The following is a 14,935-nucleotide window of genomic DNA, read 5'->3' as shown; positions in this document are numbered from 1 at the left end:
CGGGGCTTTTGGAGTGGTTGGTCACCTCCTGTCCCAAATCAGGGAGCAGGATTAGATCTGCTCAATGTTCAGAAGGACACAAGATTCCTTCTTGAGATGAGAGCTGCCACCTTCGGCCCCAGGGGTAGGGCTAGGAGAGTGGGAAGATCTTGCGTCCTGAGGGGCAGGGCCTGGCCAGGAGCCAGGAGAGGGCCAGCCCCGCATCTCCTCCCTCCGCCCTGTGGGAGCTGCCGGAATGCCCTTCCAGAGCCCCAGCCTCTCCCTGCTCAGGCGGGGCAGATGACCCCTATTCCAATCCACATCATCCCTCACATCCGTCCCTTCTCTGCACTCATCCCCAAAGCTGAACCCCACATTCCCACATCTTGACCCCTTCCATCTACTTTCCGTAAGGCACCTGGAGTAAGCTTCTTAAATGCCCCGCCATCATCCTTCCTCCATGTCCTCCCACTGCTCTTAGAGAGGATTTGGAATCCTTCTCCTGACTTCGTGGTCTGGCCTCAGTGCTCCCCTCCCACCTCCTCTGCTGGGGCATCCCTTCCACATCCCCTCTGTGCTTGGAAGGTGCCTCGCTGCTTCCAACCCTGGGAGGTTTGCATGGGCTGCCTCCTCTGCCAGGAGCGCCATCCCTGCTTTGCTGAGCTACCCTGTTCTGTTTCTCAGGTCTCATGACATGCCACGTCCTTCCAGGCCCCAGTGGGCAGATTCCCACTAATATATCCTCTGGTTCCCTGCCTTTCCCTCGAGGCCGGTGATCCTGGAGCTGGTCTCGTAGCATCTGAGTGTCCCTCTCCGCCTCCTGGCAGGAGGGCTGGCTCTGATCTACTCAGAGCCACAATTCATGGTGAGGCAGTGGTTCTGCTGGGTCTGCTGGGTGCCAGCCTCAGCCCAGTGGGGAAGGAGAGACCAGGTCAGGCTCGCCCAGGCCATTCTGGGTCCCAGGGTGTGGTGGGCTGCACAAGAGGCCAGGGTCAGTTTAGTTTGAGAAGTCCCATTGAGAGCCTGTGAGGGGCCCGTGGCTGTGCTGAGGGTCTGTGTGGACGGTGAGGTCAACATTTACACGCTTAGGCTCAAACGTGGGGAAAAATGCAACTTTCTTTCATTCTTTTTTTTTTTTTTTTTTTTTTAGACAGAGTCTTGCTCTGTCTCCCAGGCTGGAGTGCAATGACGCGATCTCGGCTCACTGCAACCTCCGCCTCCTGGGTTCAAGTGATTCTCCTGCCTCAGCCTCCTGAGCAGCTGGGATTACAAGCGCTCGCCACCATGCCTGGCTAATTTTGTATTTTTAGTAGAGAGAGGGTTTCACCGTGTTGGCCAGGCTGGTCTTGAACTTCTGACTTCAGGTGATCCACCGCCTTGGCCTCCCAAAGTGCTGGGATTGCAGGCGTGAGCCACTGCGCCTGGCCAGGGCTTTCTTTCGTTCCTATATCTGGTGCTGCCCTCATCTCGGGCACTCAGCCCCAGGATAGAAGGAAGGCTGCAGTCTGGCCTGTGGGAGGTGGCTCAGTCTCTTCCCCATAAAGCCTTTGTCTCATTCCGCTTGGGCTGGTATAACAAAATGCCATAGACCCAGGGGTTTAAATCACAGGAATTCATTTCCCACAGTTCTGAAGACTGGGAATTTCAAGATCATGTTGCCAGCTGGGTCATTCCCCAGTGAGGATTCTCTTCCTGGTTTGCAGACAGCCGCCTTCTTGCTGGGTCCTCCCACGGCAGAGAGAGAGGATGCAGGCTCTCTGGTGTCTGTTCCTATAGGACACTAACCCTATCATGAGGGTCCCACCCCCATGAACTCATCTACCCCTAATTACCTCCCAAAAGCCCCATTTGCAGGCAGAGGCCTGGTGGGGGGCAGTAGGGATGAGTCCCCTCTGCAGTAGCCTTGCAAGCAGGCCTGCCCTCCTCTCCTGTAGGCCAGTGCCCCCCTGGGCTTGCCCTGAAGCCTGGTGGTGCCCCCTAGAGCCAGGTAAACCTGCAAGCCAGTCCCCAACTATCTTGCCCATGTGTCTCTGGGGTGCAGGGGACCCTGGCATCTGCTACACACAGCTGGGAGCTGGGCCACCCTCTCAGGCCTGAGCAGGCTGGGCCACCAGTTGGGCCCTGGAAGCCACTCCTACTGCTAGGAACCTGTCCCCTCTCAGGTCCCAGGCAGCAGCCAGGATCAAGCTCTTTTGCATTTCCTTCCTTCTCAGATGTCAGGACTGTTCTGTATGACCTGTGAGGTTGGGGTTGAGGATGAGGAGAAGCCTGGCCCCTCATCCCTGGCCTTTCTCCTCTCTCCTATTCTGCTCCCTTCAGCTGCAGTGGGACCTTCCCTCGGTCAGACTCCATGAGCCAAGCTGGCCAAGCTTTGTCGTGATAGAGAAAGCAATACTGTGGACAATTACAGAAACCCCTTCTCTCTTAAGAAAAACTGGCTTTTAAGGCTACTGTGCCAGCGTGGACTAAACAATCTAGTCTGACCCTCAAAGCTGGGCAAGGACTTCTGTGGTTTAGGGGTGCATACCCTACCCCCAGGACCTCACAGGGAGCTGCAGGGCACTATGGTTTACCAGCAATGAAAAACCGTTTCATTGTTTGCACAAGCACCATTCCATTGCACCTGCATGACGGTTTCATCCCCACAACAGCTTTGTGATGGGGGGACTGCAATCCTCATTTTACAGAGGAAACGGAGGGCGATGACCAAATGGCAAGGCTTCCTGGGGACCTGGGTGCCCTCCTCGGAGCTCCATCTTGTCAGCCACAGGGGCGAGATGGGTCACTGGGGGTCTAGAGGATAACCCTCAGCGCCTACAGGGGTTGCTGACCCACCCTCCCCAGACGCCTACAGCCCGGAGCCACGGTGACCAGCCACGCTCCCGTGGGTCTGATGAGTTGTCCCTTGCCTATAGGAAAGAGAGGTGGGAGTTGTGGGGAGCCCATTTACAATCAGATGTAGATTTGCTGGGCAGCAGTTGCCAAGAGGAGCTGCGTTTGGGCTGGATGGTACCCTCAGCAGGGTCCACATGTCATGAACTCTGCCCCACGATCGGTGCCATCTTTGTTCCCAGCACCGATGCCAGCGGGCCTCGGGATCCTTGTCTTGCACGCCCTGTATGCCTGTCCACCCATCCATCATGATGTCATTCTCCTTGTGAACCCTCGGGTTTCCTGAGGTGCCTTCCCACTGTTTTGAGGTAGCAATCACTGTTGCTCAGATGCAGGCTCTACAGATTGGAGTGCAGGGAGTGTGTGCTGGCCTGACGTGGCAGCAGGCTCCGGGAAGTATGTCTTGGCCATGTCCGGAGCTGTCAGCAGCCCCTGGGCTCGGTCTGCACACAGCCAGTCCCTGTTTCTCCACTTCTTGATGGTGCCAATGGCTTCAGCCTTTCAGCGGGTATCCCTGAGTGCCTGCCAGGTGCTGCTTAGCCTGGCTCTGGGCATGCAAGCAGGGAGGATGCAGGTGGCTGCCCAGCCCACAGGGGCACACAGAGGGCTCCAGAAATAACACACCTTGTGCTTGATGAGGGGCGGCTCAGGCCTGCGGGGGGCCTTCCAGGGGGAAGTGACTGCTGAGCTGGCCTCGAGGAGGAGTAGGGTTTGGTTAACCAACAAAGGAGGTGACAGGAAGGGGGCTGCGCTAGGGAGGGCCCTGGGTGTGTGCGGTGGGAAGCTGGAGGGTGGGGGCTCAGTGCGAAGGAAGCCCCTGACAGCCTCGAGCCCGGGATAACCTGACCTATGTTTCTGGAGGGTCTTGCTGGCTGTGTTCTGTAGAAGGGGAGTTCACCCCCCTGTTTTTGTGCCACGGGTCCCTTTGATATCTGCTGAAGCCCATTGGCACCTGCTCAGAATAATGGTTTTAAATGTGAAGAATGAAACACGTGTAAGAATATGATTGTGATAAATACAGAGACGGCGACTGCAGGAGCTCCAGCCATCAAAACAGAACAGGGAGAGCACATTGGGGATGCAGTAATATGAGCTTTTTATTAACACGTTAAAACATTATACCTGGTGGTGGGCCTAGAACCGCCCCCATTTCCAAGTAGCGATGCAGGTAGGTAATCCCCACACCCACCAGCTATAGCTTGGAGTGACTTCTGCCAGGGCCGGTCCCAGCCCTGCCTGTGCCGCGGGGGTCCATCACCCACGTTCACTGTTGAAGGGAAGGTTGTGTTTCAGCTGGAGGCTACAGCAAGCGTAGGGCTGCTTTCCCTGCCCACGTTCCATGTTCAGGCCCCAGGTGAGGAAACCCTGGGCTGGTGGGTGGGGTTGCTCAGGAAGGGGCTACAGTGATCCCAGCAGGTGGTGGTGGCAGCCTGGAGAGGCAGAGGGCAGGGGGCAATGAGGGAGGGGTCACAAGGTGGCTCCTAGTTGATGGTGACGCCTGGGTGGAAAGCATGGGAAGAAGAAGGAGCAGGTGGGGGTCATCCCATTGGCAGAGCCAGAGCCAGTCCTAGGGCCTGTGGTTCCCGCTGATGCCTCCCTGTTTCTTTCAGGTCAATGAAATCTACCATGACGAGTCCTTGGGTGCCCACATCAACGTGGTCCTGGTGCGGATCATCCTCCTGAGCTATGGAAAGGTGAGTGCACTGTGGCCAGCCGGGCCTGCCTCCACCCCCTCGGAGTGAGGGGCCTGGGAGTGAGGCATGGGCCTCCTTGGAGAGTGTGTGCGTTTGCCAGAACCACCCTGCCTCTCCCTGGCTCCCCTGAGGTTCCTATAAGAAACAAGATCCCTGCTCCCTTTCACCCCTTGTTTTAAAATGTGGCCATTACTATTGTTCACTGAAAAGAGTCTGTTACTCCCAGATCCCAAGAGGAAGAGACATACCAGGCCACGGGGGCCACACAGGGAGGCACCAGGGGTGGTCAGGAGGCAGAGGGAATTGGGTAAACAGCAGCCTGAGTCCATGTTGTTTCTGCAGGAAGGACCGATGGGGACAGGGTGAGCTGGCTTAAGGTTGGCCAGTTTGAATAATTCCAGTGGGCTCTGGGGAGTGGAGCGGTCCTGAGTTAGTTTTCTGGGTAATGAGGGCAGGGGGATAGTGGCTCAGAGTGTGAAGTCTGATAAAGGAGGTGGCTGGGGACATGGGCGCTGGATTGGTTGGTTTGTATCTGAAAAATGTGCTCATGGATGAGTTGTTTCCTGTCTCTAAAGATTGGTTACCACTTAGCGGGGCAGTCCCTCCAGAGTCAGCAAGGCTCGGATGTCAAAGCATCAGAAACACGTGGTTAACACGACCCTCCCTTGGACTTCTGCCCCCGTATTAAATCTGTGGCCTCCTCTCCTCTGGCCTCGGCTGCTGTCCCAGCTGGGCTCTCTTGCCCGTCCCACTTCCTCTTGCAGCCAAACCTGGGACGTCCTTTCCTGGCGGTGTGCATGGGTGTGTAGCCGCCAGGGACAGTGACCTGGGATGGCAACACGGGATGCTGTGCAGACAGAGGAAGAGAGGAGCCCCACGGTACGGCCCGTGTAGACTGCAAAGTGCCTGTACCAGCCGTGTGGGAAGCACTTTGTATGGATGAATGCCCTTAATCTACAGGGCAGATGGAGGGGTGCACACTGTGACTCTGCCCATTTCACAGATAAGAACACCGAGGCTTAATGTGACTTAGTGACATGCCCAGGTAAGCAGCCAGGGCCATCCAGCACCCGAGGAGTCAGGCTTCTTACCCAGACAGCAGAATTCGAGCCTGTGGTCTGGCTGTGCATAGAAAATCAAATCATAATAGGATCAAATACATCAGATAATTATATAAAAGTTGAACTCTGTTCAAAGAGAATCTCAGTCTCAAAAAATAAAATCAAACTGCATACAACTTATAAGGCACACGATGTAAAAATGATGACGAAGGACTCCGGTGGCAGAAGGGATCCCAGGAATACTAAGTAGATTTGGGGCCACTTCCCTACACCCACCAAGCACCTCATTCCACAGTGACCGAAGGCACCCACAGGGCGGATGCCAGTTGCAGGCCTTCGTGTACCCCAAGAGAACACAAAACATCCCAAAACAAATCCTTGGAACAAAGGGGAAATTGGCAAAAACCTAACTATGAGAGTCTCTAATACACTTTTAAAAGCCTTTCACAGATTAGATGCTAATAAGGCATAGAATTTTTGAATGACACAATGAGTAAAGCTAAATTAGTAGTTATATCACTGTTTCCCTTGCCCTACAGAAAAAAAGAAAGATGAACCTTCTTTTCGAGGAATCATAGAACACTTAAAAATTACAGAAGTGTTTTGGGTCATAAAGAAAATATTGTGAATTTTATACAGCTAAAACGATTTTGTCCATCTTCGCTGATGAAATGCCTAAAAGTAGGGGTGGGGGCAGCAGAATTTATAAACCTAAAAAAATCCAATTCATTTGAAAACATTAAAAAAAAAAAAAACCTACTAGGGGCCAGGCATGGTCGCTCACACCTGTAATCCTAGCACTTTGGGAGGCCAAGGTGGGTAGATCACTTGAGGTCAGGAGTTTGAGACCAGCCTAGCTAACGTGGTGAAACCCTGTCTCTACCAAAAAAATACAAAAATTAGCCGGGTGTGGTGGCATGTGCCTGTAGTCCCAACTATTTGGGAGGCTGAGGTGGGCGAATTGCTTGAACCCGGGAGGCAGAGGTTGCAGTGAGCTGAGATCACACCACTGCGCTCCAGCCTGGGTAACAGAGCAAGGAAAGAGAATATTAGGACTGCAGTACAGACTATTTGGAACACTAATAAAAACAAGAGCACTACTGTCAAATCTTTTGGAATGTGGTTAAAGCTGTATTCAGAGGCAAATTCACAGATGTTTTCCAAAAGCTTCTTCCTTGGGTGATATGTTCGACACACATTAGCCCTGCCTTCAACTCAGTACATTTGAATGAATTTCAACAGCAACAAAACCAAAAACTTAAGGAAAGCAAAAATAAGGAAATAGTTCAGAAAAAGCAGAAATCAATAAATTAGAAAATGGAAGAAACACATAGAATCAATGAAGAAGAGAGCTTTGGAAAAAGCAACCCTCTGACCTATTTAATCTAGAAAAAAAGAGAGAAGGCACAAACTAAAAGATCAGAAAGAGTATATGTAATGTGACTACAAAAAGATACTTCTCCTGGCAGAAAGGAAAGCATGCAGGGCCATCTGCCCACTAGGAAGCTGTTGGGAGGCTCTCTGCAGCCGGCCACTTCGGAGGTCCAGGGATGATCAGTGGAGGAGGGATGTGCAGGGCATCCTCTGCCAGTGAATGCTGGCTAGGAGGGCAGAGAGAGGCTCGCTGAGCCCTCTATCCCAGGTTTGTGGCAGGGGGCTTTGGACCACACAGATGCAGAGCCTGGGGGTGGGCCCCAGCCCAGCAATCCGGTTCCAGCTCTCCATTCACAGGCGGGGAGGTGCGGGGGGGATCTTTGGACTATCCCATGTGGCTGGCTGCCTGCCTCCAGTGGAGTTCCCTGTTCCGGCCTTCCCCAAGCCGGGTCTTTCCAGCCTGTCCCTTCCTGGCCAGGATCCTCTGGTGTTTTAGGAATTCTCAAGCCTTTGGCATGAGAGATGGACAGAGTTATATCCTCTTTTGGAAGTTTCCAAAAATGGGAAACTCCTGGTCCTGGGGCTAGAAAGGGGAGAAAAGATTATCCCATTGATTGGTCTGGGTGCCAGGTGGCGGCTTGCATTTTCCCCCAGGTTGCTCCTACATTGTTTAAAAAGAAGAATTTTGTAATTGACTAGGGTTAATTGCTTACCAGTGCTGGCAAAGCTTTGGATCTTATTTGGCCTGAAAAGTGTCTGCTCTTTCCCAGTCTTGAGTACTTGATGGAATAAAGCCTCCTTTATTAATTACTCCTTAGCAGGCTCTATGCTAAATTATCCCGACCCTAAGCCTTTTCTTTTTCTTTTTCTTTTTTTTTCCTTAACTGCCTCAGGTAGGTAGAAGGAGTATGTGATCACAGTCAGAACATTTGCAGAAGAGAGTCAAACCCTGAAGGTGAGAATTTGAGGATCTCTATGCCAGGGACACGGAGATCCTGGGGAAATTGAGGATTTCCTGGGATGTGAATATTTCAAAGCTGACTCCAAAAAATGGAGAATATGCCATAAGTCCCATAACCATGGAGGGAACTCAAGTTCTTCACCTTTTCCAAAGTTTTGCCAGTGCATTCATACTCATTTGCAAGCATTTATCAGGCAAGACTAATACAATACCCTGTAAACTCATGTATTCTGAAATCTACCCAATGTGTCTTTCGTAGTCAATGGGACCCTTATACCCAAAGATGCCAAAGGTAGCCCGTCAGGACAAAGTACAGACCTGTCTCACTTCTAAAAATAGAAGTAAAAATCCCAAGGCATTAAGAGTTTAATTGAATAATGTATAAAGAGAAACTTCTACCGTGATCATCTAGGGCTTATCCTAGGAATGTGGAGATTGTTTAATATCAGGAAATCTATTCATACAGTTCATCACATCAGTTTCCAAATGACAAAACTCATCCTCTAACAAATACTGTTTGAAGGGCTTCTGTGTGGGAAGTGCTGTGCTGGGAATATTCACTGGCATAGTCTCTGTCCTCAGGGGACCGCTTCCAGAAGGCAGATCTAGACAAGGAAACAATTGTACCAGGGCTCAGGGCTGGATGGAGGAGACGCGGGTCAGGCAGTCTTTCCTTACAAGGTCAGGAAAAGCAACGGGAGGAAGTGACCGTTCCACCCACACCTGAAGATGGTCCAGTGAAGTCACCAGCATAGAGATGCTCTGAGTTCATAGGCTGGGAGGGGAGGGAGGGCAGCTGAACCCAGAGGGACGAGCACAGGGACAGGAACAGCAGACCCAATGCCAAAGACGTCGGAAGGAGCCGATCGCAAGGAGCAGAGCAGACCTGCGTCTCCCGCCAAGGGGTTTGGCTTGCCCATGAGGGCAGCTTTAAGCAGTGACACGATCCCATGTGCATTTCTAAGAAGATCACTGGCTCCTGTGTGCAGAAGGGGCAGGTGGGAGCAGTGGCTTAGGAGACAGTCACTGCCATCAAATGGGGGATGCTGGCAGCTGGACTGGGACCAGGCCTGGGTCCAGGGATACAGACAGGAGGACAGAGGAGGCCACTTCGAGAGGATGTGGCACTAGGTGGGTGAAGGCGGAGAGACTCTCAGCTGGGTAGATGATGGTATCAACCCCTGAGATTGGGGAGCACAGGAGGGAAGCTGAAGAGGTCAGCTGAGATGTGCAGTTAGAGGTACCTGGTGCCATCCCAGCGGAGGAGGCCAAGAAGATGTGGATGTGGGTCTGGAGCCCTGCGGGGTCTGGAGCTGGGGGTAGCAGAAGCAACTGCAGGCATGAGGAGCTTGCTGCCTAGGGGGAGCCTGGGAGAGAGGCCTCAGGGCTCCAGTGTTGAAGCCTCTGGCAGGGCAAGGGCGTGACGGCCCCGTAGCCCCTCACAGGGCACTCCTCCTTTTCCAGATCCCCAGAAAACTAGTAACAGAGGGCAACAGGACAACCAAGATTGTATTTAAAGGCGGAAAAAGAAGCACATTTCCCTAAAAGTGTTCTGCACAGCGAATTCTTAGGATATGAGTAGATGTTACAGAGGACTATAGAGGGGTCCCAAGGTCAAAGAAGTCTGGAAAATGCTGGTCAAACAAAGGAAAATGGGCATTCCTGGGGGTGAAATTTCCCGGAGACTTTCCTGTGGAGCTGTGCATGGTGTACCTCCGAGAGTCCGAGCAGTACAGGTGGTCTCTGAAAACTTTCTCCACGGAAGCTTCTTGCTCAGCAGATCCGCAGCCTGCTGAACCTGCTCTGGGGAGCACTGCCCTGGAGATAGTCTTGGAAACAAACAAACAAAAAAGACCCATAAACTAGTTACTGTGGTTCTGAAAATCCTAGATACTTGTATGTGACATGAAACTAGTATTGGAAAAGAGCAGAGACAAATTCTCATTGTTTGCTGTTAATCATGTGTCGGGAAAACCTAAAAGAATCCACGGTACAACTTGTAGAGTTAGGAGAGGAGTCTGGTGATGTGGCCAAATATCAGACCATTGTTTAAAAAATCAGTAGCTTCTGTGTGAACCAAAAACAACAGCCTTGGTAGTGGGGAAAACAGGGAGAGAAAATTTCCATTATGGTAGTAACCAAAAATGTAGAATACCTGGAATAGTCCTGACAAGACAATGGACCCATTGGAAGGAAATTGTACCTGATTAATGATAGGAAGAAAGTGATCACAAATGAAGACACAAATGCTGTCCTCATGGGAAGCTGGGTATAATCGAGAGGTTGGCCTTTCCCAGATTCATAGTTGGAAATGTTATGAAGTGATTCTAAGCACCATCTAGGAACACGAACGGTCAAGAATGGCTGAGACAGCTGCGGAACCCAAGCAAGGAAGAGACATCCTCCAAAGGAACATGAACGGTCAAGCATGGCTGAGACAGCTGCGGAACCCAAGCAAGGAAGAGACTTCCTCCAAAGCAACATGGACGGTCAAGAATGGCTGAGACAGCTGCGGAACCCAAGCAAGGAAGAGACTTCCTCCAAAGGAACATGAACAGTCAAGAATGGCTGAGACAGCTGCGGAACCCAAGCAAGGAAGAGACTTCCTCCAAAGGAACATGAACGGTCAAGAATGGCTGAGACAGCTGCGGAACCCAAGCAAGGAAGAGACTTCCTCCAAAGGAACATGAACGGTCAAGAATGGCTGAGACAGCTGCGGAGCCCAAGCAAGGAAGAGACTTCCTCCAAAGGAACATGAATGGTCAAGAATGGCTGAGACAGCTGCGGAACCCAAGCAAGGAAGAGACTTCCTCCAAAGGAACATGAATGGTCAAGAATGGCTGAGACAGCTGCGGAACCCAAGCAAGGAAGAGACTTCCTCCAAAGGAACATGAACGGTCAAGAATGGCCGAGACAGCTGTGGGACCCAAGCAAGTAAGAGACTTCCTCCAAACATCTTGTAAAGTGAAGATAATTAAAATAGTGCCATATGTGCATAAACTTTCATAGACAGTTCAGTTGAATAAAATAGTTGAAAATACCCCTCTTACAAATAACCTACCGTGATAAACACAGAATGCTTATTGTGTTATAAATAAATATATAACATAAATTTAATAAATAGGAAATTAAATTATCATGTGACAAATATAAGCCAATACAACATTCAACTATTTAAATCACACAAATCAAGAAGAAAATATTGGTTGTCAAGAGCTTTCTAAGCATAAATCCAATTGAAGGAATTGTAAAGGGGAATATGGATATATTTGGATAAGTATAATACCAAACTTCTGTCAAAAAACACAATGAAAAGGCAAATGACAAGCAGGAAAAACATTTGCAATGTGATAAATATATCTTAATATATAAAACCTCCTCTAAATCATAAGGAAACAAAATTGTCAATGGAAGGAAACAAAGAAAAAAATCCAAGTGGCTAAGAGAAAGCCCATATGGAAAAATATCTAACTCTACTGTTAAAGAAATAAATAATACACCATTTATAAAGCATCAACCCTGTTAAGATGAAGAGGGATTTATGGCTGGGTGAATGAAGCAGGCACACTTTGAGTATGAGTACAGATATTCTAAGGAAATGTAGCAATATTTATCACTGCCCTTAAAAATGTTCTTTTTTTCTTTCTTTTTTTTTTTTTTTTTGAGATGGAGTCTTGCTCTGTTGCCCAGGCTGGAGTGCAGTGGCGCGACCTCAGCTCACTGCAACCTCTGCCACCTGGGTTCAAGTGATTCTCCTGCCTCAGCCTCCCAAGTAGCTGGGATTACAGGCACCTGCCACCACACCCAGCTAATTTTTTGTATTTTTAGTAGAGATGGGGTTTCACCAGGTTGGCCAGGCTGGTCTTGAACTCCTGACCTCAGGTGATCCGCCTCGGCCTCCCAAAGTGCTGGGGTTATGGGGCGCGAGCCACCGCATTTGGCCTTTAAAATGTTCTTGATGTTTGCCCCCAGACATTCATTTCTGTGACCCCAGACATTCATTTCTACAACTCTGTTCCAAAGCAGTGATCCCAGCTGTGGGCCAAGTTTTAGGAACAAGACAAGGGTCATGGCATTATCTCTCATGTGAACAACAGCAAACAACCTATATTGTCCAATAATAGTGGTCTAGTTAAGTAATGATAAACCTATGTGGTAGAGTATTAGGCTGCCACAAAATTGCATTTTCGAAACATGTTTAATGGCATTGGGAAATGGTTACAGTCTAAAGCTGTTTGTTGTTTGAAAAGCAGGATCTCAGTTTTCCGTATGATCTCAATTTGGTGTACAAATATATTTACCAAAAAGACTGGAAGGAACACATCAAATGTGAACAGGATTTCTCTGTGGGCAGTAGGCTAATTAATTTTCATTTTCTTCTTTGTACTTTACTGAATTTTTTAAATTCAATATGATGAGCATGGTTTTTATTATTATTATTATTATTATTATTATTATTATTAAGAGATGGGGTCTAGCTCTGTTGCCCAGACTAGAGTGGAGTGGTGTGATCATAACTCACTGCAGCCTCCATCTCTTGGGCTCAAGGGATCCTCTCATCTCGGCCTCCCAAGTAGCTTGGACTACAGGCACGCACCACCACACTCGACTAATTTTTTTTTCTTTTTTTTTTTGTAGAGACAGGGTCTCACTCTGTTGCCCAGGCTGGTCTTGAACTCCCAGGCTCAAATGATTCTCCTGCCTCTGCCTCCCATAGCACTGGGATTACAGGTGTGAGCAGCTGAGCCTGGACCAGCATGTTTCTTTTATAAACAAAACACTGCATTTTAAATTTGTGAAATTTAAATTTTTTAAATGATTTTTTAAAAAATCATTTAAAAATGGTAGGATCCAAATGATGCCGTTTGACTGAATTCAGCACTCTGGAGAAAGGTCTCCGGTGGCATGCCACAGGGCTCTGTCACGCTCAGTCCTTTATTTCTGATTTCAATGAAGACATCAAAGAGAATTCATGCTTTCCCTTGGCACGTCATCTCTGCAGTGGGCTGGGGAGGAGTAATGAGGTTTCTGTGTTCCACCCTATGGGCGCTAGCTCACGCTTCCTGTGGCTGGGGCAGGGGGTCCACCTGCAGCGGGTCCACCTGAAGGAAATGGGAAATCTTGGAGTGAGGACGCAGGCTGCCATAGGTACGTGGTCTCCCCTGCATGAGAAGCCCACGCCCCTGGGTTAGCAGGCACCACCCTCCTGGCCAGGGCCTCCTTGGCCCCTGCCCCTCATGCGCCTTGCCTGCAGAAGTTCTGCTTTGCTGGGACCCCCACCCCTCATGCACCTGCAGAAGCTCTGCTTCACTGGGGCCATGCTGGGGCCCCACTTCCACTTTTGGCAGAGTTGGGAATGGGGCAGTGGGCAGGGGACCGGTTGTCAGGTGCAGCCTGCTCTTCCCAGGGACAACATGGGGACATGTGCAGGCCCTGGGGGTGCTGAGATCCATAGCCAGCAAACCAGGGCAGCTCATGCCTGTGGTGGGCACCGGGCAACTTCTGCGACCCAGGTACAAAGAGAACAGAGAGGACATAGGTGAACTGAGGCTGGCCTTGCTTCCGCCTCCTGCTGGGAAGGGGCTTGAGAACTGATGGTGGTGAGGGATTGGAAGACAGAACCGGAAGCTGGACGCACGCTTCCAGAGCTAACTCCAGATGGAACCAGCTTACCCCCGGCCCCGAGGGCTCAGTGGACCCGCAGCTGAGGAGGCAGGGGAGAGGCAGTGCTGGGTTGTGAGGGGTGTGGGACCCAGGACACCCCAGTGCCTGTTCCCAGGCCCCTCAGCCTAGCTTGGAGGACAACACACAGCCGGTCCCTCTGTCAGACCCCGGGAATTCAGGGATGATTGGCCTCCTGGAATGTTCTGGAACATTCCAGCATTCTGGGCCTTTTTTTCTGCTCCTAACTCATGCCTGCCCAGAGTGGGGCTCAGCAAAGCTCACCCCATACTCTGCCCACCTTTTTCTGCCTGGCCCTACCCCGCCTTCCTCCTAGAAGCCTCCCAGATCAAGCACAGGAGGCAGTGATGGGGGTAGGGGACGCCAGTGCCCATGGGGTCCGCTCCATCCCGGGGATCTCCTGAGTTGATCAGCTGAGTGTAGACTGCCAGAAGAGCCGGGCCTGCCCGCTGCTGTGCCCTTCTCTGGGGGGTTCTGGGCTGTGAGAGGGGAAGTGAGCCGAGGCTATGAGTCCTCGTTGCTTTAGGTTGGACCTACTGCAAAAGTGCAGGAAATAGTAGAGCAGAGGAGGTGGCACTGCTAGGGGCTGGGCTGAAGGCTTGGGGTAGAGGGCACAGCGGCTAGGAAAATGGGTTCTGGTCATGGGCCCTGGCTGACTTAGCGAATGTGCTGTGGGCCACAGGGCTTGGGAGCAGCGTCTGTGGGACCGGAGGAGCCATCTGCCATCCCCAGGTGGCCAGGGGAGAGGCCATCCTGGGAGCAGCAGTACACAGTGCACCTCAATGCCAAAGACCTGGCTGTTTTCTTTTTCCTATTTCAAACCCATCACAGACCAATACTTCCGTACCATACGTTATAAATGAATTACTGGGAAAAGCAAATGTGACAAAAACCGAGGTATCCAAAAACTCTAGGTCTGGATTTTTATTATTAAATTCTGTGGACATAAACTCAACCCGTCCAATTGCTATAAAAGTTTCTAGTTTCTGTACTTATCTCACTGTGGACTGGAACAGTTTGTGTCCACCAGGCACAGACTTCACTTTGCATAGCACTGGGGGAGGCCCTGTTTTCAGGTCTCTGAGGTGTCTGATGAACGTGGGAGGAGATGTATCCTTGTGCCCCCAAAGCATCCGGCCAGCCCAGAGCCTCTGGCTTCCCGAGCAGCTGCTGTTTAATCCCAGGGAGGTGCATGAACGAGGAGGGGAGAGGAGCCCTGTGTCCAGGCAGTAGCAGCAGACAAGACAGCGACAGAGTGGTGAGCACCGGCAAGGAATACAGCAGGGTGGCAG

The 14,935-nt window shown here is 50.8% G+C and overlaps 1 protein-coding gene across 4 annotated transcripts in view, besides 2 other annotated features; it reads left to right on the top strand.

Moving 5' to 3' along the window:
• ADAMTS2 (ADAM metallopeptidase with thrombospondin type 1 motif 2) overlaps positions 1 to 14,935 on the top strand; it is a 234,609-nt gene that overhangs the window by 159,825 nt on the left and 59,849 nt on the right. For all 4 annotated transcript variants that reach the window (NM_014244.5, XM_047417895.1, XM_047417896.1 and 1 more), the window contains one exon: positions 4,482 to 4,565. In NM_014244.5, the coding sequence (NP_055059.2) occupies positions 4,482 to 4,565 (84 nt within the window). The remainder of the gene's footprint in view (positions 1 to 4,481; positions 4,566 to 14,935) is intronic.
• Positions 702 to 1,302: an enhancer, noted in NCBI's record as "H3K4me1 hESC enhancer chr5:178611336-178611936 (GRCh37/hg19 assembly coordinates)". NCBI's record gives its function as "activates a minimal SCP1, AML or CMV promoter by ChIP-STARR-seq in naive H9 embryonic stem cells {active_cell/tissue: H9 hESC(naive)}" and the evidence as "EXISTENCE:reporter gene assay evidence [ECO:0000049][PMID:30033119]".
• Positions 3,682 to 4,409: an enhancer, noted in NCBI's record as "H3K4me1 hESC enhancer chr5:178608229-178608956 (GRCh37/hg19 assembly coordinates)". NCBI's record gives its function as "activates a minimal SCP1, AML or CMV promoter by ChIP-STARR-seq in primed H9 embryonic stem cells {active_cell/tissue: H9 hESC(primed)}" and the evidence as "EXISTENCE:reporter gene assay evidence [ECO:0000049][PMID:30033119]".

Source organism: Homo sapiens, chromosome 5 (assembly GCF_000001405.40).
Source record: "Homo sapiens chromosome 5, GRCh38.p14 Primary Assembly".
Lineage (NCBI taxonomy): Eukaryota > Metazoa > Chordata > Mammalia > Primates > Hominidae > Homo > Homo sapiens.
Note: the sequence above shows the minus strand (reverse complement) of the source record. Positions and strands in the feature narration are given on the sequence as shown.